The sequence below is a fragment of the Homo sapiens genome, chromosome 11 (genome assembly GCF_000001405.40).
Source record: "Homo sapiens chromosome 11, GRCh38.p14 Primary Assembly".
NCBI lineage: Eukaryota > Metazoa > Chordata > Mammalia > Primates > Hominidae > Homo > Homo sapiens.
The window spans coordinates 73,872,391-73,895,669 of record NC_000011.10 but is presented as its reverse complement, the minus strand read 5'-3'; the positions used below and the strand labels follow the sequence as shown (position 1 = coordinate 73,895,669).

The window sequence follows — 23,279 nt, the reverse complement described above, 5'->3', positions numbered from 1 at the left end:
CACATTCCCAGCAACAATAATTCCCACATAAGTTATTAAGAAAAAAGTAGGGACTTTGGCTTTAATTATCCAACTTTCCATTTTACTTTGTTCTATGTCAATTAAACCATAATAAATAAGTTTGGGAAGAACTATAGGGATATATCCATCAACTCTAACATTTTCTAAGACTTTTCTTCTTCATTTTGCTTCCTCGGAATAAAAGGACTGCTAACTTAGTAGTGGATCCTTTACTTGTAAGCAACATACTTCAGGTTCTGTCCTGATACAGGTGGTATCTATCCAATTGCTTGCTGGTAGGCAGTGAACACCTAGGCTAGACTGGAAACCTCAAACTGAACATGTCCAAAGAAAACTTTTATTTCCCCTGCCCCATCCCAATACAACTCCTCCTCCTCCAATTAGTAAATGGAACACAATTCACCTACTTCTCAGGCCAAAATTTTTTGAATCATCCCAACTCCTCCTTTTCTCTCATACTTAACATCCAAGTCATCAGCAAATCACGTCTAGTCCCACATCTCTAGCATGTAAGATCTATAAGGGCAGTTTTATTTATTTTATTCAGTATCCAGAAGACTGGCTGAAATATAGTAGGTGATTAATAAATGGATGAATCATCTTTCAGTAAGCTCAAATAAAAAGAGAATAAGAAATAGAAAAGGAGCACAGTTATGTTTGTTTTTGAGACATGGTCTCACTCTGTCACCCAGCCTGGAATGCAATGGCACAATCACAGCTCACTGCAGCCCTGACCTCCTAGGCTCAAGCAATCCTTCCATCCCAGCCTCTCGAGCAGCTGGGACTACAGGCACACACTACCACATCCAGCTAATTTTATTTTTTGAGACAGAGTCTTGCTCAGTAACACAGGCTGGAGTGCAGTGGCGCAACCTCGGCTCACTGCAACCTCTGCCTCCTGGGTTCAAGCGATTCTTGTGCCTTAGCCTCCGGAGTAGCTGGGATTACAGGCGTGTGCCACCATGCCCAGCTGATTTTTTTTTTATTTTTATTTTTTTTAGTAGATTTTTTTTTATTATTATACTTTAAGTTTTAGGGTACACGTGCACAATGTGCAGGTTAGTTACATATGTATACATGTGCCATGCTGGTGTGCTGCACCCATTAACTCGTCATTTAACATTAGGTACATCTCCTAATGCTATCCCTTCCCTCCGATTTTTATATTTTTAGTAGAGATGGGGTTTCATTATGTTGGCCAGGCTGGTCTTGAATTCCTGGCCTCAATTGATCTGCCCACCCCAGCCTCCCAAAGTGATGGGATTACAGGTGTGAGCCACTACAACCAGCCTATTTTGTTTATTTTTTTGTAGAGACAAGGTCTCACTATGTTGCCTAGGCTGGTCTCAAACTCCTGGGCTCAAGTGATCCTCCTGCCTTGGACTCCCAGAGTGCTGGGTACAGGCATGGGCCACTGTGCCTAGCCTGTAAATGATTTTTAAAATGACTTACTTCTCAAAAGGTGAGCGGCATTCCCAACTCTCCCAAGAGGTGAATTGCCTTCTCCCTCAGTTAAAGCAGAAAATAATAAAAAATGATGTATAAAGGCCAGGCACAGTGGCTTATACCTATAATCCCAGCATTTTGGGAAGCCAAGGAGAGAGGACTGCTTGAAGTCAGGAGTTTGAGACCAGCCTGGGCAACAGAGCAGGACTCCACCGCTACAAAAAATAAGAATAAAAATTTTTAAGCCAGGCGACTAGCTGGGACTACAGATGTACATCACCATACCTGGCTAACTTTTAATTTTTTTGTAGAGACGAGGTCTTACTATGTTGTCCAGGCTGGTCTTGAACTCTTGGGCTCAAGTGATTCTCCTTTCTGGGTCTCCCTAAGTGCTGGGATTATAAGCATGAGCCACCGCGCCCACGTTTAGTTTTTTCTTTCTTTTTTTTTTTTTTTTTTTTTTTGGAGACAGAGTTTCACTTTTGTCTCCCAGGCTGGAGTGCAATGGCGCAATCTTGGCTCACTGCAACCTCTGCCTCCCGCGTTCAAGCGATTCTCCTGCCTCAACCTCCCGAGTAGCTGGGATTATAGGTGCACGCCACCACGCCTGGCTAATTTTTGTATTTTTAACAGAGACGGGGTTTCGCCATGTTGTCCAGGCTGGTCTTGAACTCCTCACCTCAGGTGATTCACCTGCCTCGGCCTCCCAAAGTGCTGGGATTACAGGCATGAGCCACTGCGCCCAGCCTAGTTTTCAAATAAATAACTGCTTTCCGCTTTTCACATTCACATTTTATTGATTTAACATAAGATTTAATTAATTTATATAATTTCAAAAATAATATAACTGGCATTACAATTGACTCTTGATAAACTTTCAACCTAACGGTATGTTTTACAGAGGAAATGAAGAGCAACAATTGACTCTATACATCAGTTAAGCGGCAATGCATTAGAACACACCCAAAGCCTCATAATTCCCACACCCTATGACTTAGCAATTCCACTTTTACAAATGTATTCTAATTTCTTCCCATCTTTGGGAGCAAAACTTTAGCTATAAATGTATTCATAAAAATACAAAATCACAAAACTGGAAACACCTGAATGTCCAGTAATATAAAACTGTTAAATTAAATTATAGTAAACTCATCAATAGAATACCATGCAGCTCTTAGAAGGATACATTGAAAGACAGCATAGAATAATGGACATATAATTAAGTAATAAAAAGCAAGTTATAGGCTGGGCACGGTGGCTCACACCTGTAATCCCAGCACTCTGGGAGGCCGAGGTGGGCGGATCACAAGGTCAGGAGATTGAGACCATCCTGGCTAACACAGTGAAACCCCGTCTCTACTAAAAATACAAAAAAAATTAGCCGGGCGTGGTGGCAGGCACCTGTAATCCCAGCTATTCGGGAGGCTGAGGCAGAGAATGGTGTGAACCCAGGAGGTGGAGCTTGCAGTGAGCCGAGACTGCACCACTGCACTCCAGCCTGGGCAACAGAGCGAGACTCCATCTCAAAACAAAAACAAAACAAAACAAAAAGCAAGTTATAAAATAGCATGTAATGTAAAAACCCATTTTGGTAAAATATTTAAGGAAAAGACAGAGTATTAAGTAAAATAATGATATGTAGAGTTGCCACAGTGCTGGCTCATAGTAGGCAATCAATAAATGTGAGCTTTACTACTATGATTATTATTTAAAAGGGATATACAACAAAAGTTCCTAACAGTTATCTTTAGGATACAGAAATATGAGTGATTCTCCTTTTTTTACATGTCCTAAATTTTCATCACTAAGTATATATCTGTTTTGTAATAAGGGTGAAAAAGAGCTCTTTTTCTTTCTTTCTTTTTTTTTTTTTTTTTGGTGAGACAGTGTCTCATTCTGTTGCCCAGGCTGGAGTGCAGTGGCATGATCATGGCTCACTGCAGCCTCAACCTCCTGGGCTCAAGCAATCCTCCTACCTCAGCATTCAGAGTAGCTGGGACTACAACATGTGGCACCATGTCTGGCTAATTTTTGTATTTTTCTGTAGAGACAGAGTTTCACCATGTTGCTCAGGCTGGTCTTGAACTCCTGAGCTCAAGTGATCCACCCACCTCGGCCTCTCAAAGTGCTAGGATTACGGGCATGAGCCACTGTGCCTGGCCAAAAATTGCTCTTTTAAAAAACGTACCACACAGTAAGAAGTGAATGGCTTCAACATAATCAGTTTTATCTAGCAATTTCTCACTTCTGCTTCCAAGAAGCCCATGGTAGTAGAAAAGGCTTTATATCACAAAGACCTTTGAAAATTATTCCTCAATGTGGTATATTTGAAATTTTGAGAAAATATCCCTGTCCTATAGGAAAAGGAATAAAATATGAGCAGCAGCATTATTATATAAGCATCAACTATTACAAATTTATTTATTTTTATTTATTTTTTGGAGACAGAGTCCAGGCTGCAGTGCAGTGGCATAATCTCAGCTCACTGCAGCCTCCAACTCCTGGGCTCAAAAAATTCTCCCACCTCAGCCTCCTGAGTAGCTAGGACTACAGGTAAGTGCCACCACGCTCAGCTAATTTTTGTTTTTTTGTGGAGACAGGGTTTCACTCTGTTGCCCAGGCTGGTCTCAAACTCTTGGCCTCAAGTGATCCTCCTGCCTCTGCCTCCCAAAGTGCTAGGATTGCAGGTGTGAGCCACTGCACCTAGCCAAGCATCAAGTATTATATCATTATCTGAAAGCTGGTAACTCTCCTAAAACATATGTAAGGAAATTTCATATAATCTCTAAGATGACCAGTGAGTAGATTTGAACACATATTCTATGTGGACTAGAGTACCAGTTTTGCCAAACACATCAGACTTCATCAGCTGTATCATCTTACAATGCAAAGTAAATGAAAGACATATTAATTATGAATATGTTTATAGCACTAGACAAGCAAATAAAATGAAAAATTAACATGCTATTACATTTTCTCTTCATTTTATCAAAATACTTACACTCTTTGTATGAATTCTGGAAAAAGTAGTATATGGTGCCAAAAACTTAGAAGATGCATTTTCCTTTGGACATGAAATATGAATGCTTTTCTAAACAAAGAGGAAAAGATGAGATTCATCAGTAAAACTCCTCCAATGTATTATAATTAAAGCCTCTTAAAGAAAACATTAGGACTACAGGACATTCTCATCTTCTCAGTGTACCCTCTCTCGTTCTCCTTTCCCACCCCACAAAACTATCCCTCCCCCATAGATCAGCAGTCCTTTTAAACTGTTGAGGGCTACAGTGTAATTTGGTATTGCTAAGATGCCATTATCTTTTTGTGTTGAAATAAGCTGCTCCACAGAAGACAGACAAACAATATGATACAACCAATAAGCATTAGAGCATTCGTTTTAAGAAGAAAATCTAATACCAATACTCTCAATTAGCAGTGGGGCAAGGAACAGGATCAGTGCGAAGAGGACATAAAGAGATATAAGGAAACTCTTCAACACCATCCCCCAAACCTAGGTCTTAAAAGACAAGTCTAAAAGTAAACTTGCTGTCTACAAGAACTTTTAGAGAGAATGTTAGACTACTGACATTTACAATGACCAGATGAAATTGGTAAAGTAAATTATGGTACACCCATAAAATATGTAGGCCTGGGTCAGGCTTACGGTGCCTATTCCCTCCTAAGACTTAAATTGACTGTACATGTTCATAGACTGGTTGTTGTAACACAGCTATATTTTGATGCCCCATGTGTTCTACCTAGTCATTATCACCTGTCTTTCAACTACTGTAGGAAGATAACACTGGTGGCATATTAGGAAACTATACCTAGAACCAGATGTTAGATTCAGGAGACATGACTTGCTAAGGGCCATTTGTAACCATTTTAGGTAAGAATATTGGCGTTTGAAGGTAGCACGTGTAGAGGTAAAAAAAAGAAAAAGGCTTGGTAAACCCTCCCTCAAGGACTCTTGCAATATGACAGTCCCTTACTCTAACCAGCATAATACCAATACTATCACTTAAGTATAGATCTCCTATAAGGAACTGAGGAGCTGCACTCACCAAATGACCCCTAACCTTTTATCTCTTCTGCAGTAGTACTTCAAAGTCTCTGGTAATTCTTCAGGACAATGAAAATGTCTTCAATAATCAAAATTTTCTGAACCTCTTTATATCCAACAAGCACAGGTCCTCACAGTTCATTAGAAAGAATGGTTTCAAAGTCAAAATATTCTCATCATTGAATCAGTATGCTCTTTACAGATCATCTACTCCTTTAAAATGACAATTAGACTATCTACACAAACAGCACTTTCTTAGCCAGCATATCCATGCCTGGCTGCCTGCAGGCCTTTCACTAAATGAGTTTTTGCTTCTAACTGTGTGATAAAGCCCATATAGCTGCAAGAGTGCTGGCCTGGATTTGGAACTGCCTCTTGTACCAGAAACTAAAGCGTCAGCTAAATCCTCTTGGCTGAATATTCATATTAGCAAGGATGCAAGGAGCTTCAAAAGCTTAGTGTTTGGGCCTCTGTAAGAATTGGATTTGCTCTCAGAAGACTTCATTTCTTTGGAGCTATGTGACAGATTTCAATAATCAGTACTTTTCTCCTACTTTGCAGTCTTGCAAATCAATCTTTAATCCACAAACAGACTACAAAGGAAGATAAATGTTAAAATATCTTCCAACATTAGCAGTGGACAATCATGCTGTTAATGAAAATATTTTAAAGAAAAACTGCAAGAGAGATCAGAACAGACAAAATCCAAGGGGAAAAAGTGTGAGTATGCTGCACTAAGATAAAATTCTAAGTCAAACATTTTTATGCTCCAGGGTTAGACATTTAAGCATAATGACAGATCTACTGTTTAAGAGAACAATGTAGCAATATCAAATTAGCAAAGTGACTCATGGCAGTTAGGAAACAAATGAATGTTCAACCATAAGCACTTACTGTCTGAACCCACTCAGCAGGTTCACAGCAAAAATTAGCAATCATGTTTGAAGTGATAAAGACTGTATCCAGGTCTGAGTATGAAGGGAAGAAAGAAGTCAGCACCCAGGCTGTGCCAAAACACCTGGGAAAAACGTAGGCTTGCATGGTAGTGCTAAACTTGGAATCAACAGAACTGGGTTTCAATTCCAGCATACAGTCTGTCTTTGATTATTTGAGATTAATTAACCTCTCTGAGTTGGTTTGCTTATCTGCAAAATGGAAATTTAAAATGCCAATCCCACAGGATTGTTATGGTAAAAGAACCAAAACTAACTTCTGTAGTATTTTATAGATTCATCCACATGCAGTCTCATTCCCCATTAACCATTCTAGGAGGTAGAATAGGATCTCAGCTTTATTGATGAGGAAACTGAGACTCAGAGAACTAAGTTATTTGTCCAAAATCACACAGCTAATAAGTGTCAGAGTTAACTAAGACTTAGATCTTCTGATACCTATAATACCCATAGCTGTTTATGAAAAACAAATATAAAATATATAATAACATGTAGCCTACTACCTGGCCCAAAGAGAGTAATGAATGAACATTTGCTAAAAATCTTATGTAAAAAACAAAGTATTCTCTATTCTTGTCAGTATACCCAAAATATTTTTTATAACTAAAAAGTTTAATTACACAAAAAATGAAAAATGAAACAAAAGGCTGGTCCACCCTTACGGAATCATCTCACCAGAGCATACTAACTGCAGCAGTCAGAATGAGTAGGGAGAGGCAAATCATGGGTTCTCCAACGCTTTGCTTACCCATCTACTCACCTCAAAGACAAACAAGAAAAACTGTTAAGTACTATTAATGTAGGCTCTTCATCAAGGCCTCACCAGATATGGATTATAAGGCTACATTGTTCAGTGTAGTAGGTAATGGCCGTATCAGGCAACTGAGAACTACTTGGATATGGGCATCTATATTTTCAACTGTAAATTTTATAAAACCTAAATACAGATCAAGTATTTCTAATAAAAATTAGAGTCTGAGCTGAGATAAGCTGTAAAAGTAAAATATACATGGAGTTTTGAAGACTTAATAAGAAAAAGAAATGTAAAATATCTCTAATAATTTTTAGTATTATTTACAGGTTGAAATAATGTTTTAGATATACTGGGTTAGATCAAATATATTATTAAAATCAATTTCGCTTGGGCATGGTAGCTCACGCCTGTAATCTCAGCACTTTGGGAGGCCGAGACAGGTGGATCACGAGGTCAGGAGTTCGAGACCAGCCTGGCCAACATGGTGAAACCCCATCTCTACTAAAAATGCAAAAATTAGCTGGGTGTGGTGGCGGGCGCCCATAATCCCAGCTGCTAAGGAGGCTGAGGCAGGAGAATTGCTTGAACCCAGGAGACAGAAGTTGCAGTGAGCCAATATCATGCCATTGCACTCCAGCCTGGGCGACAGAGCAAGACTCCATCTCAAAAAACAAAACAAAATCAATTTCATTGTTTATTTTTATCTCTATAATGTGGCCACTAGAAAATTTTAAATTACACATGCATCTTGCATTATCAGAGCTGATATAAGGGAAGTAAGAGGAAGTCTGATGGCACTTAAAAGTATATGTAACTACAATAGAAAATACCAATGACACTCACAGACAGCAAAAACTATGATTCTCATACAAATGAAGTGGAGATACACAGATAATAGTATAAATATCTAAGGTAGATGTTTGGGTACTACCATAGTTTTAAATATCATGCCATCTAGAAGACATAAAAACATACCTTGTTTATTTCATTCACAGTAAATCCTTCTGAAGCTGTAACCTCTGGGATGCCATCTAGGCCAATTCCTTGACAAGTCAGGCTGCCATACAAAGATGGTTTCCCTATATGGTACAAAAGAAGCATGTCTCAAAAAATAAGAAAAATTTATTATTTTTCTCTTTGAAGACCCAATTCAGGCATCTGTATAAATAGTATACCCATGAAATTGGCCCACGAAAGAAAAACAGGTGCCTGTGTTAAAAGTCAGGTGAAGTAAAAAGAGAATTAGATTAGGTGTCTTAGTCTGTTTAGTGTTGCTATAAAGGAATACCTGAGGCTGGGTAATTTATAAAGAAAAGAGGTTTATTTGGCTCACGGTTCTGCAGACTGTACAAGAAGCATGGCACCAGCATCTGCTTCTGATGAGAGCCTCAGGCTGCTTCCACTCATGGCAGAAGGAGAAGGGGAGCCAGTGTATGCAGAGATCACATGGTGAGAGAGGAAGTAAGAGAGAGAAGGGAGATGCCAGGATCTTTTTAACAATCAGCTTTCTCAGGAAAGAACAGAGTGAGAACTCAGTCACTCTCACTCTCCAGGGAGGACATTAATCTATTCATGAGGGGTCTGCCCCCATGACCCAAACACCCCCCATTAGGCCCTACCTCCAACACTGAGGATTAAATTTCAACATGAGATTTGGAGGGGTCAAACATACACACTATAGCACTAAACTCTAATTTGAAAGGGAATACACTTTCAAGACTAAAATACATTTTCTTTTTTTTTTTTTTTTTTTTTTTTTTGAGATGGAGTCTTGCTCTGTCGCCCAGGCTGGAGTGCAGTGGCGTGATCTCAGCTCACTGGAATCTCCACCTCCTGGGTTCACACCATTCTCCTGCTTCAGCCTCCGAACAGCTGGGACTACAGGCACCCGCCACCATGTCGGCTAATTTTTTGTATTTTTAGTAGAGATGGGGTTTCACCATGTTAGCCAGAATGGACTCGATCTCCTGACCTCGTGATCCACTCGCCTCAGCCTCCCACAGTGCTGGGATTACAGGCGTGAGCCACCGCGCCTGGCCTGACTAAAATACATTTTCAAGACTAAAAGCTAAGAACAAAGATTTAGAGATTTGATACAGCATTTGTAGAGAGGGCTTTTAGAGTGATCTCAACCTGATGTAACTGGCTGTGAAATGTAATTCTTCCAGGATGAAAGGTGAAGATCAGTATGCATACATGTATTTATCTACAGTATATACACATAATACATAGTAAAGAATTAAGCTTCAGTAACCTGTAAAATTTGCCTAAGTAGAATACTGATTTTGCAGAGATATGGGCTAAGTAAGATACTATCCTACACATAAACACACGCAGATGATAGAATGAAGTTAAAAACTGTTTCCATTCTTCTTCTACACCTTATATATTCATGTCTATAACAGCCCATAACACACTGTTTACATGTCTGACTTGCCCAACAGACTGTGAAGTCCTTAAGTCTAGCAGGGTGCTACATTCATTTATTATTCAGTAAATAAATGTTGAGCCAAACTGAAGTTACAGGAGAGAAGCAGAAATCATCATGGATTCACACAAGAGTGGGAGGGATTTTTTTTTTTTTTTTTTTGAGATGGAGTTTCACTCTTGTCGCCCAGGCTGGAGTACAATGGCGTGATCTCAGCTCACTGCAACCTCCACCTCCTGGGTTCAAGCAGTTCTCATGACTCAGCCTCCCAAGTACCTGGGATTAAAGGCACGTGCCACCACACCTGGCTAATTTTTGTATTTTTAGTAGAGACGGGGTTTCACCATATTGGCCAGGCTGGTCTTGAGCTCCTCCCCTCAGGTGATCCACCCACCTCAACCTCCCGAAGTGCTGGGATTACAGGTGTGAGCCACCACGACCAGGCCGGGAGGGCTTTCTAGAGAGTATAGGAGCCTCAAAGAAAGATAGGAGCTGGCTAGGAAGAAAATAGGGAAAAGAAAACTCCAAGTCAAGGAGGAGCATATCAAGAATAAAAGAAAGTCAGCCGGGCATGGTGGCTCACACCTGTAATCTCAGCACTTTGGGAGCCCAAGGTGGGTGGATCACAAGGTCAGGAGTTCAAGACCAGCCTGGCCAACATAGTGAAACCTCTTCTCTACTAAAAATACAAAAATTAGCCAGGTGTGGTGGCACGTGCCTGTAGTCCCAGCTATGATACTCAGGAGGCTGAAGCAGGAGAATACCTTGAACCTGGCAAGCAGAGGTTGCAGTGAGCCGAGACCACGCCATTGCACTCCAGCCTGGGTGACAGAGTGAGACTCCATCTCAAAAAAAAAGAATATCACGCCTGTAATCCCAGCACTTTGGGAGGCCGAGGCGGGTGGATCACGAGGTCAGGAGATCGAGACCATCCCGGCTAAAACGGTGAAACCCCGTCTCTACTAAAAATACAAAAAATTAGCCGGGCGTAGTGGCGGGCGCCTGTAGTCCCAGCTACTTGGGAGGCTGAGGCAGGAGAATGGCGTGAACCCGGGAGGCGGAACTTGCAGTGAGCCGAGATCCCGCCACTGCACTCCAGCCTGGGCGACAGAGCGAGACTCCGTCTCAAAAAAAAAAAAAAGAATAAAAGAAAGTCAAAAAGAACAAGAAGGAAGGATTCATCAATTAATACACCAGTTTGGTAATAGCAGTCATGGAAATGATAGTTGAGGGATAAATCCCAGAGAAACTCAAAGTCTAGGGTAGAAGTTTGGCCTAGAGAAGACCTAGTAAAGACGCTTTTCACAGGGAAGTATCATGAAGCACTATTTCAGAAAGATGCCACAAAAACAGAACTGAAGCAACTTCACTTTTTATCCCACTCCATGATTCCCTATTGTGTTTACCAACTGCCTTAAGAAGTCTGGCCCTCATGGTGCATCATTTCAACCAATCACTCAATGACTTCTCCACATTTGTGGATGTATATATATGTATTTTTTTAATATTTGAGACAGGGTCTCGCTCTGTCACCCAGGCTGGAGTGCAGTGGTATGATCATGGTTCACTGCAGCCTCTATCTCCCAGAATCAAGGGATTCTCCCGCCTCAGCTTCCTGAGTAGCCTGCATGCCACCATGCCCAGCTATTTTTTTTATTTTTATTTTTAGTAGAGACAGAGTCTCACTATGTTGCTCAGACTGGTCTCGAACTGCTGGGCTCAAGCAATCCTTCTGCCTCAGCCTCCCAAAGTGCTTGGATTACAGGGTGAGTTACCCTGCCCAGCTGACTTCTCTACATTTGTGAAGTCACTAAAATGACCTCAGCCTTGGTTTTCTCTATATAATAGCAGAACTAGGATCAATCCAACCACTTACCTTCTACATTCCTACATGCAGGCTGCTGAGTACTGCTCCAGAAAAGAACACAACTGTGCCGACTGTCACCAATCCAATTCATGTTTCTAAACTCAGCAGTTTTGTAATCCTTTCACCCCTCCCATTCCCCACAGCAGCTGGTTCTCATGCCATCTATCCTGCCATCAAAATCTCCTTCCTTCATAATAGCCAAAAACTAGAAATATGTGTCCATTAATTGATGAATGGATAAACAAAATGTAGTATATCCATACAACAGAGTATTACCGGGCCACAAAAAGGAACGAAGTACTGATAAAAACAACAAATAGAAACATTATACTAAGTTGCCTGTAATCCCAGCACTTTGGGAGGCCGAGGTGGGAGGATCACTTGAGGCCAAGAGTTCAAGACCAGCCTGGCCAACATGTCGAAACCTCGTTCGTCTCTACTGAAAATACAAAAATTACCCGGGTGTGGTGGCAGGCGCCTGTAATCCCAACTACTCAGGAGGCTGAGGCACAAAAATCACTTGAACCTGGGAGGTGAAGGCTGCAGTGAGGAGCCGAGATTGTGCCACTATACTTCAGCCTAGACGACACAGTGAGACTCTCAAAAAAAAAAGAAAGAAAGAAACATTATACTAAGTGAAAGAAGTCACACAAAAGGCCATGTATTTTATGATTCCATTTATATGAAATGTCCAAAGTAGGCAAATCCACAGAGCTAGAAAGTAAACTAGTGGTTGCTAGGATTGGGGGGTGGAAAGTGACTGTTAATGGGTATAGACTGTTTTGGGGGTGATACTAGAAATAATATATGTAAAGTAACTAGCACATAGATAGCACACATTTTTATCTCAATAAAGCTGTTATTTAAAAACAAAAACAAGAAACAAGATGGTGGATCACACCTAGAGTCCCAGCTACTTGGGAGGCTGAGGGAGGATCACTGGAGACCAGGAGTTCAAATTCAGCACCTGGGAAACACAGCGAGACCCCATGTATTAAAAAATAAACACAGGAGTTCAAGACCAGCCTGGGCAACATAGTGAGACCTTGTCTCTACAAAAAATTTAAAAAATTAGCCAGGTATGGTAGTGCATGACTGTGGTCCCAGCTACTGAGGAGGCTGAAGTGGGAGGATCTCTTGAACCCAGGAGATCAAGGCTGCAGTAAGCCATAATCATGCAACTGTACTCCAGCCTGGGCAACAGGGCAAGACCCTGTCTCAAAAAAATAAGAACAGGCCAGGCACAGTGGCTCACGCCTGTAATCCCAGCACTTTGGGAGGCCGAGGTGGGCGGATCTCAAGGTCAGGAGTTCGAGACCATCCTGCTTAACACGGTGAAACCCCGTCTCTACTAAAAATACAAAAAAATTAGCTGGGCGTGGTGGCGGACACCTGTAATCCCAGCTACTTCGGAGGCTGAGGCAGAAGAATGGCATGAACCTGGAAGGCGGAGCTTGCAGTGAGCCGAGAACATGCCACTGCACTCCAGCCTGGGCAACAGAGCGAGACTCCGTCTCAAAAAAATTAGCCAGGCGTGGTGGCGCATGTCTGAAATCCCAGCTACTTGGGAGGCTGAGGCAGGAGAATCGCTTGAATCCAGGAGGTGGAGGTTGCAGTGAGCGGAGATCGCACCACTGCACTCCAGCCTGGGCGACAAGAGCGAAACTCCATCTCAAAAATAAATAAATAAATAAATAAATAATAAAAATAAAAATAAACACACACAGAAACAAAAACCACCCTCCTCCTTAAGAGTTGACATCATTAACTCCAATTCATAAAGAAAACTGAATCTACAAGTTACCTTCAAAAAAAAAAAAAAAAAAGTGCAGGCACGGTGCCTCACGCCTGTAATCCCAGCACTTTGGGAGGCCAGGGAGCGGATCACGAGGTCAGGAGATGGAGACCATCCTGACTAACACAGTGAAACCCCATCTCTACTAAAAATACAAAAAATTGCGGGGCACAGTGGCTCACGCCTGTAATCCCAGCACTTTGGGAGGCTGAGGCAGGCGGGTCACCTGAGGTTGGGAGTTCGAGACCAGCCTGACCAACATGGAGAAACTCTGTCTCTATTAAAAAAAAAAAATACAAAATTAGCCAGGCATGGTGGCACATGCTTGTAATCCCAGCTACTCGGGAGGCTGAGGCAGGAGAATTGCTTGAATCTGGGAGGCGGAGGTTGCAGTGAGCCAAGATGGCACCATTGCACTTCAGCCTGGACAACAAGAGCAAAGCTCCATCTCAAAAAAAAATACAAAAAATTAGCCGTGCATGGTAGCACGCGCCTGTAGTCCTAGCTACTTGGGAGGCTGAGGCTGGAGAATTGCTTGAACCCAGGAGGCAGAGGTTGCAGTGAGCCAAGATTGCACCACTGCACTCCAGCCTGGGCAACAGAGTGAGACTCCATCTCAAAAACAAACAAACAAACAAACAAAAAAACTCCTTGGTTGTTGAAGGTAGCTTGGTAATTTAAAACAACAACAACAACAACAACATTAAGTTTGTTGCTTTGTAAAGACTTGATAATGTTTTTTTAAAACTGTTTTAGGCCGGGGGCAGTGGCTCACACCTGTAACCCCAGCACTTTGGGAGGCCAAGGCGGGCGGATCACTTGAGCTCAGGAGTTCAAGACCAGCCTGGCCAACATGGTGAAACCCTGTCTCTACTAAAAATACAAAAATTAGCTGGGCATGGTAGTAGTCCCAGCTGTAGTCCCAGCTATTCAGGAGGCTGAGGCACAAGAATCCCTTGAACCTAGGACTGGAGGTTGCAGTGAGCTGAGATCATGCCACTGCATTCCAGCCTAGGTGACAGAGCTAGATTCTGTTTAAAAAATACTGCTTTAATAGTATGTATCGGCAAGAAAAATGCAAAATATTAGGGAAAAGATCTAAAAAAATATAAACCCCAGTTGATGTTTTGCTCTTAGATTGCTTTTTTAGCCTAAGTAAAGATTTGCCTTGCTTTAAAGAAACTGTGCCTTTTGGTTACAGTTTATTACAAGATAGCCAAGGTCCTTGTAATAATAAGTGGACTAATAAAGAGAAGGTGAATTTTAATGTATGTTTATATATTTTAGTTAAAATAAAATGTAGGTCTTTTGTGTATTTTTATTTTATTTATTTATTTATTTAGAGATGGAGTTTCGCTCTTGTTGCCCAGGCTGGAGTGCAATGGCACGATCTCCACTCACTGCAACCTCCACCTGCTGGGTTTAAGCGATTCTCCTGCCTCAGCCTTCCGAGTAGCTGGGATTACAGGCATGCACCACCACGCCCAGGTAATTTTTTGTATTTTTAGTAGAAACAGGGCTTCACCATGTTAGCCAGGCTGGTCTCAAACTCTTGACCTCAGGTGATCCGCCCGCCACAGCCTCCTAAAGTGCTAGGATCACAGGCGTGAGCTGCTGTGCCTGGCTTTTTTTTTTTTTTTTTTTTTTTTTTTTTTCGAGACAGAGTCTTGCTCAGTCATCCAAGCTGGAATGCGGTGGCACTATCTGGTCTCACTGCAAGCCCCGCCTCCCGGGTTCACTCCATTCTCCTGCCTCAGGCTCCCGAGTAGCTGGGACTACAGGGGCCCACCACCACATCCGGCTAATTTTTTGTATTTTTTTTTAGTAGAGCCACCGCACCTGGCTTTTTTTTTTTTTTTTAACTGAGACAGGGTTTTGCTCTGTCTCTCAGGCTGAAGTACAGTGGCACAATCCTAGCTCAAGCAGTTAGAATAGGATTTTTGAACATAATTAAGCACAATAAAATAGGTAAAATAAAATACAGTATTTTCCTTGAATTTTTATGTTAAGTATACATATGTATATGTGTGTGTGTATATATATATATTTGTGTATTTGTGTGTGTGTTTCTTTTTTTAGAGCCAGGGTCTCACTTTCTGGTCCAGGGTAGGAGACCACGCAGCATGATCACGGCTACCCTTGTCCAGGGTAGGAGGTCCAGTAGCATAATCACAGCTCACTGCAGCCTTGACTTGCTGGGCTTGAGCAATCCTCCCACCTCTGCCTCTTGAGTAGCTGGGACTACAGACACCCAACACCATGCCCAGCTAGTTTTATTTGCTGTAGACACGAGGTCTCCCTATGTCTCCCAGGCTGGTCTCAAGCAATCCTCCGCCTTGGCCTCCCAGAATGGTGGATGACAGGTATGAGCCCCCACGTCTGGCCTTATTTTTAAGATGATTGGCAAGTCACAGCACTATAAAGTCCATCCTTTATTCCACTGATATAAACAATAGTCTTTTTTTTTTTAATGATGGGGTCTCACTCTGTCACCCAGGCAAAAGTGCAATGGTTCGATCATAACTCACTGCAGCCTCAACCTCCCGGGCTCAAGAGATCCTCCTATTGCAGCCTCCCAAGTAGCTGGGACTACATGCGCATGCCACTATGCCTGACTAATTTTTTTTGTTTTTTATAGAGATGGGGAGGGGGTCTCACTTTGTTGCCCAGGCTGGTCTCGAACTCCTGAGCTCAAGTGATCCTCCTGCCTCAGCTTCCCAAAGTGCTAGGATTACAGGTGTGAGCCACTGTGCCTGGCCAAAACTTTATTTCTCATAGAAATACAATATATCAGCAGCATTTGAAATGAAAGATAATCAGCAAAACAAAACTTTCTTACAGAATTTAGAAGGAAGGTTGATTTGTTTTAGAATGGTACCACCTCGGTTACAATTTGAAAAGAATCCTGTGAATGATATAAGACTGTTGTTCAAAAGAAAAATTGATAAGACTTGGGAGCTTCCTGGATATGGCAGGGTCAAGTAACTAGGTTTTTCACTCTGATGCCTAGAAAAATGATGGTAACTTAAGAAATGAGAAAAATCAGGAAAGAGAACTCACTTGACAACAAATGTACTTAGCTTGGTTTTGGACTTCAGTAAGTCCAGTAACTTAAGGTGACAGTGAGACCTTTAAGCAGAAATATCTAGCAAACAACTGATCAATCTCTGCTTGAACATGGAGAAGTCAGGGCTGGGGCTGTAGATCTAGAAATTATCATCAAGAAAGTCCCAGTTGAAGCTGCAGAAGTGCTTAGAATACAATAGCACAGGGTAAGTGACTAATTAAGATGCATCAACAATGTCTCCATGAATAAGTCTGTGGCTTTCAAATGGAAAATCAATCTGAAGGCCTTCCCTTGGAATGGAGGAGTTGGGGTGTTGGCCATACAGTACAGACTGGTCAAGCATGTTTGCAGACTATTATGTAAGGAGGCTGGGCCAGGAGAAAGTAGGAAGCTTTCTTTTAAGGGTATTAATCCTTCTCCTTTAAAGTCACAGCATATATAATTCATGGGTATTACCTGGGGGATGACAGCTCAGCCAGGCCTCCCCTTCATCCTTCCTACGAAGAAAGACAAAAGCCTAATTAGGCTTACCCAAAGTTGAATAGGATCCCATAGTTACAAGGGAAGAAAGAAGGTCATGTAACCTCCAGCTTGGTCATAGTACTTAGACATGAGATAGTCCAACCTCTCATCGAGTATAGATCATTCTAAGACAGACAAACTTTATTTGTTCAAGAAATATTTGTGGATTAACTATTTAATGAATAGATATCTGTTGGTTAAATTAATGCTCATCCATCAACAGTGAGCTCACTTTGAAAAATCAAGGTTATTTAATTATTTATCAGGATTATTGTAAACCAAGCCCTGTGCTAAGCACTTTCCATACACAATCATTAACCCTCACAATAACCAAACAAGATTCCTTTTATTATTTTAGCACCTGCCCAATCATCCAAATCCTGATCTCTTCACCCTAGCACTTTTAGGGTATAATGGAAAGGGTCTATGCATTTAAGACAGAAAGATCTAGGTTGACAGCAACCCTCTATCATTTGACGAGATGCATGATCTTGGGCAAATTAAGCCTTCTGATTCTGGTGCTGTATTTTCTCATAGGTAGCTAGTGGCACTTCATGTTATTGTTCTTTATTACTTATCACATTCTGTGTACTAGCAACTAGTCTGTATTTTAGCCCACCTAAATTAAGTAAGGTATAAATTTAGTAAGGTGTAAATTTCTTAAATGCAGAAGGCTATGTTTCATTCATCTTCACCATTGTTTCAATTTGAAAAACCCTTATTAGTAGTAGCAGTTGCCAAATATAGCACTGCTATATTCATCCTGAAGCCTAGAGAAATAACTGGAATAGTATAAGATCAATAAATGTTAGATGAATGAATAGTTTGCTGTGTATTCCTAATTAAGACGTCAGCTTTTCTTCTTTTTTGAGATGAGTATCGCTCTGTCACCCAGGCTGGAGTGCAGTGGTGCAATCTCGGCTCACTGCAACCTCCACCTCCTGGGTTCAACCGATTCTCCTGCCTCAGCCTCCCGAGTAGCTGGGATTATAGGCGCCCACCACCAAGCCCGACTAATTTCTGTATTTTTAGTAGAGACGGAGTTTCACCATGTTGGTCAGGCTGGTCTCGAACTTCTGACCTCAACTGATCCACCAATCTCAGTTTTCCAAAGTGCTGGGATTACAGGCATGAGCCACTGCGCCTGGCCTGGATGTCAGCTTCTTGAAGAGCAGGAACCATCACTTATATTTAGAGTATACATCTGAGCTCCACCAAGCATCCAGTATGGGGCCTGGACACAGTATTAGTTTCCTTAATAGTATCGTCCAGTATGCCTAATATAGCATTAGGGGCCTAGGAGAATACAAAGGTTCCATCACATACACAAAGTGGTGGTGAGTACAGAGACTTCTGGAAGTAACTGACGACTAATCAATATTTGCTAAATGACTGCTTGGCCAAAAGCCTTCCTGCCTCCCAGTATCCCTGTCTTTCTCCAACTCACTGATACTAGTTCTGACGCGGGGATCACACAGCTCATGTGCTCCCTTGGCCTAGGGATAGCTTTTCAGAGAATGACCATACGGGTTTGATACTTCTTTTTCCGGACCCTGTTCCCTCCATATCCCTCGACAATTGACGAAGTAACCCCTATTGATATCCTGGACCAGGCATGGCTCTCCTTGACGCAAAGCAACATCCACTACCCGCCTCCTCTGACTCTGTTCTGGGCCTGGATTCACCTGAGGGCTTGCGCCCAGTCGCTCTGAATCCTCAAAGGCGCCGCCATCTCGACCCCGCCTCCACCAGCCCACCTCTTCCGCCCCTTCCCGGAAGTGAGTCCCCGAGAAGCGTGCGGCGAGGACAGAGGTGGGCTCAACACCAAGAGGCCACCAATGAAAACGTGACTTTTTCACATTCCCCGCCCCTTCCGTGTGCACGCTCCCCACGAGGGGCTGGTTCCTGAAAGGATGTACAGAGGATCCCCAACCGCCTGCGAAACCCAAGCCGCCGCGTAGGAGCGTGCGTTCGGGCCCTCTTCTCCCACCTGTTCGGTGAGCATCGCGTACCGCGTTCTTCAGGAGGCGTTGCGGGCACAACGGGGCTGCGATCAGCGGCCGCGCGCGCGCATGCGTCCTCAAAGTTCAAAGTCCTCGATACGCCTGAGGCGCCTCAGGCCTCGTGGCTGCCAGCATTTTTCTGCTTTAAGATCCTTTCCATGACTTCCTTGTTTAGGCCAGCCTCCACGATCCAGCTGCCAACCATCTAGCCTACCCTGATCTCTGAGCAGGGGTCGTCGTCATTTTACTCCAGAGGAGACTGAAGCCAAAAGGTGGTGAGAGGAGAGTACAGCAGCATTTACTGAGTCCTATAGTAGCCCAAGCGCTTTTCATTCGTTATATTAATCTTCATTCTAATTGTGCGAATTAAATATTATTAATGGGAAAACTAAAATGAAAAAGATTACATAGTAAGGCGTAGTGCTGGGATTTGAACACGGATCTCTTGGTTTAGGATCAAGGCACTTTCTATTCCACTGTTCTTTCTCTAAATTATTTGCTCCTGGCCCTATTTAAAGAGTTAACAGTGTATTTAGGAAGAGAAAACTATCATTTATTGAACTCTTTAGACATACCAGCCTCCTTACAAACCTTACCTTTTTTTTTTTCTTTTTTTTTTTTTTTGAGACAGGGTCTCCCGCTGTAACCCAGGCTGGAATGCAGTGGCGTGATCACGGCTCACAGTGTTGCCCAGGCTGGGCGCAAACCATCCTCCCGCCTCAGCCTCCCAGTGTTGGGATTACAGGCGTGAGCCATGGCACCCGGCTTCATCTCTGTGCTTCCAGAGAGGTTATTAAATGATGTGTCCAAGGGCACCAAATGAGGCAGTGACAAAGCTAGGTCCAAGTCTGTTTCAAAGCCCATTTTCTCCCTCTTGCTTAAGTTATACCGCCTCCAAGGCAAATGAGTTGTGTAAAGTGCCTAACTCCCTCTTGTGATTCCCCATTGCCCTCAGAATAAAAAGTCTTAAACTCCCTACTATGTCCTACAAAGCCTTGTGATGATCACTTACTTATATCGCCAGTTTAATATTGTCTTATTCTCACACTGTATTCTCCCATCACTGAACTTTTTTTTTTTTTTGCTCTCATGTGTCAGATTCTATCTCAACCACCTGCTCTTCCATTGACCAAAAATAGTTTTCCCATCTCTGGCTAACTTCTGTTCCATCTGTCAAGTTTCAGCTTGGAAATCACTTCCTCTAGGAAGCCTTCCCTGCCTATTCCTGCCCTTGTCTGGATTAGGCATCCCTCCACTGTGGTCCCAGTCTTTGCTATCTGTACACTGTGTAGTAAACTGCCCTGTTTCCTTGTCTAGGTTGTAAACTCCATGAAGCCAGGAACTTAACTGACTTAGACAGTCTTGAATCCTCAGCACTAGCATAGTGCCTGGTACATGATAGGTACTTAATCATTTGTTGAGTGAATGAGAGACACAGTTAAGGCAATAAGGAGTCCTAGTTGCTTTACAGCCCATCATGGTGAAATTTTTGCAAAGGCTGAAGTCATTTCTCTTCAAACCTTAAGTTCCTTCTGTATGCTGCTTTCTGCTGAGTGTTCTGATGCAGACGGGCAAGACAGTTTGGGCAAATAAATACACCTCACATTTTTGTATAGTTTACAAAGCCATCTCACCTTATAGACCCAGAGGCCAGGTTTCTGCATACTGTATGCTACAGCCACAGTGAACTCTTTCCATCCTTCCCATGTGTCAAAACCTACCCATATTTGGGCACTCTTTCACTTTGTTTGTTTGTTTGTTTTGGAGATGGAGTCTCACTCTGTCACCCAGGCTGGAGTGCAGTGGCACGATCTTTGGCTCACTACAACCTCCGCCCCTTGGGTTAAAGCGATTCTCCTGCCTGAGCCTCCCGAGTAGCTGGGATTACAGGTGCCTGCCATCACGCCCGCCTAATTTTTGTATTTTTAGTAGAGACGGGGTTTCATCATCCCGGCCAGGCTGGTCTTGAACTTCTGACCTTATGATCCATCTGCCTCGGGCTCCCAAATTGCTGGGATTACATGTGTGAGCCACTGCACCCAGCCTCTTTCACTTTTTAAACTTTGTTCTTCAGCATAGAATAAGGCTAGTAGGATAAAAGAAGAAAGGTTATTTATTTGAAACAGGGTCTCACTATGTCACCTAAGCTGGAGTACAGTGGCACCATCATAGCTCACTGCAGCCTTTGAACTCCTGGGCTCAAAGGATTCTCCCTCTTCAGCCTCTTGAGTACCTGGGACTACAAGTGTGTGCCACTATGCCCAGCTAATTTTTACATTTTTTTTCTTTTTTCTTTTTTTTTGAGATGGAGTTTTGCTCTTATTGCCCAGGCTGGAGTGCAATGGTGTGATCTCGGCTCTCCGCAACCTCCGCCTCCCGAGTTCAACCTCGGCTCTCCTGCTTCAGCCTCCTGAGTAGCTGGCATTACAGGCATATGCCACCACACCTTGCTAATTTTGTATTTTTAGTAGAGACGGGTTTCTCCATGTTGGTCAGGCTGATCTTGATCTCCCGACCTCAGGTGATCCGACTGCCTCAGTCTCCCAAAGTGCTGGGATTATAGGCATGAGCCACCGTATCCAGCCATTTTTAAATTTTTTTGTAGAGATGAGGTCTTGCTATTACCCCTGCTGGTCTCAAATTCCTGGGCTCAAGGGATCTTCCTGCCTCAGCCTCCCATAATGCTAGGATTACAGGTGTGAGCCATCGTACCTAGCTGAAAGTTTAGTTCTTTTTAGGTAGATCAGAGATAGCTTATCTAAAAAGATGACATTTCACCTAATTCATATTCCAATAGCAAAATCCACTGAGCTTATTGAATGTTATGTCAAGCATTCTCACAGTTTATCTCATTCAGTTCAAACCACTTTTCAGGCCTGCTCTCAGCCAGGCCTAGTGCTGGGGGCACAAAGGTAAATCAAGACGAACATCAGCCGGGCACAGTTGGCTCACACCTGTAATCCCAGCATTTTGGGTGGCTAAGGCAGGAGGATCACTTGAGCCCAGGAGTTTGAGACCATGCTGAGCAACATGGAAAAACCTTGTCTCTATTAAAGAATCAAAAAAATTAGCTGAGTGGTGATGCACACCTGTAGTCCCAGCTACTCTGGCCAGGGAGGGACTGAGGGGGAAGGATTGCTTGATCCCTAAAGATGGAGGCTACAGTGAGCCTGGGCAACAAAGCAAGACACCCTCAAAAAAAAAAAAAAAAAAACAAGCATCTGTCTTCAAGCTTAGAGTCTCCCACGGGAGACAGACACATTAAACAGGCTAAATGGTGCAGTCTGGTCAGTGCTATTTATAATTTAGGAACCTTACATATTATATCCCTACTCTAACCTGTTAATGTTCTATAGACTCCCCATCCCCAGGATGTCAACCTCAGTCCCTCAAGGCCATACCTGGACCCAACGGGTGAAGAAAGACGATGAGGAGGAGGACCCGCTGGACCAGCTGATCTCCCGCTCTGGCTGTGCTGCCTCCCACTTTGCAGTGCAGGAGTGCATGGCCCAGCACCAGGACTGGCGGCAATGCCAGCCACAGGTGCAGGCGTTCAAGGATTGCATGAGTGAACAGCAGGCGAGGCGGCAAGAGGAGCTGCAGAGGAGGCAAGAACAAGCCGGTGCCCACCACTGAGACCCCAAACCACCTATCCCCAGTAGATGGCCCTGCCAAGACCAGCACCCAGCAAGATTATAGAGGAAGAAATCCTAAATGCTGGTGTGGGAGGTCTAAAACATGGGGAGAGTTTTTGGATCTGGAGTTGAGAGCCATGGGTTTGGACATGACTGGCACAAACAGCTGTCATATGTTCATGGTCAGATGTCATACATTCTCAGCTGTCTTGTTCCACCAGTATTTACCAGGAAAACAAAGAATGTGTTAAGGGATGCTCCCCCACCCCACATCTTAAGTCAGTGTGCCAAGTACTGAGATGATTTTAGGGACATTTTATTTTAAATTAAATTTACAATCTAATGGTAAATTGATTACCTAATTAGTGCCTTTCTCTTTCATCACTTGTTCTGGATGTTTCAATCAGTTTAGTGGAAGGAAAAATAAATGGGGAAACTTTTTATTCAAATATGTTTTTCTTTTGTTTTTTTGAGACAGGGTCTCTGTTGCCCAGGCTGGAGTGTGGTGGTGGAGTCAGGGCTCACTGCATCCTCAGTGGGCTCAGGCCATCCTCCCACCTCAGCCTCTCAAGTAGCTGGAACCACAGGTGTGTGCATCACCACACCCAGCTAATTATTCAAACATTGAGTACCTATTAAATGCCAGATTCTGTTGAATTAACAGATACCAAGTCTGGCTTTAACTTGCTCCCAACCCAACAAACACAAAGTTGGGCTAACATTTT

General features: G+C 42.8%; 2 protein-coding genes across 11 annotated transcripts in view, besides 2 other annotated features; one reads left to right on the top strand and one right to left on the bottom strand.

Moving 5' to 3' along the window:
• The window catches only part of PAAF1 (proteasomal ATPase associated factor 1), a 54,416-nt gene extending 35,445 nt beyond the window's left edge, over positions 1-18,971 (bottom strand). For 3 of the 8 annotated variants that reach the window (XR_007062508.1, NM_025155.3, XM_047427639.1), the window contains exons 1-4: positions 18,602-18,671; positions 16,851-16,891; positions 8,213-8,316; positions 4,469-4,558 (exon numbers count right to left, since the gene is read on the bottom strand). Coding sequence is in view for 6 of the 8 variants with exons in the window: in NM_025155.3 (NP_079431.1) it covers positions 4,469-4,558; positions 8,213-8,316; positions 16,851-16,891; positions 18,602-18,648 (282 nt within the window). In the remaining 2 variants the exon portion in view is untranslated. Of the gene's footprint in view, positions 1-4,468; positions 4,559-6,424; positions 6,890-8,212; positions 8,317-8,570; positions 8,640-16,850; positions 16,892-18,601; positions 18,672-18,928 lie in introns of those variants that run through there. The other 5 variants (NM_001267803.2, NM_001267804.2, NM_001267805.2 and 2 more) reach the window with 5 other exon arrangements.
• Positions 18,434-18,503: an enhancer, noted in NCBI's record as "active region_5244". NCBI's record gives its function as "activates an Ori minimal core promoter by ATAC-STARR-seq in GM12878 lymphoblastoid cells {active_cell/tissue: GM12878}" and the evidence as "EXISTENCE:reporter gene assay evidence [ECO:0000049][PMID:35858748]".
• Positions 18,524-18,573: an enhancer, noted in NCBI's record as "active region_5243". NCBI's record gives its function as "activates an Ori minimal core promoter by ATAC-STARR-seq in GM12878 lymphoblastoid cells {active_cell/tissue: GM12878}" and the evidence as "EXISTENCE:reporter gene assay evidence [ECO:0000049][PMID:35858748]".
• Positions 18,824-23,003, top strand: COA4 (cytochrome c oxidase assembly factor 4 homolog). 3 transcript variants are annotated; one of them, XM_017017884.2, is made up of 3 exons: positions 18,824-18,913; positions 19,095-19,191; positions 22,276-23,003. In XM_017017884.2, the coding sequence occupies exon 3, from the start codon at positions 22,292-22,294 to the stop codon at positions 22,553-22,555; it is 264 nt and encodes an 87-aa protein (XP_016873373.1). In that variant the 5' UTR covers positions 18,824-18,913; positions 19,095-19,191; positions 22,276-22,291; the 3' UTR covers positions 22,556-23,003. The 3 variants fall into 3 exon arrangements, with proteins under 3 accessions (XP_016873373.1, NP_057649.2, XP_016873372.1); NM_016565.3 differs by lacking the exon at positions 19,095-19,191; XM_017017883.2 differs by lacking the exons at positions 18,824-18,913; positions 19,095-19,191 and adding an exon at positions 21,195-21,249 and having other exon boundaries at positions 21,926-23,003.
• The last annotated feature ends 276 nt before the right edge of the window (positions 23,004-23,279 follow it).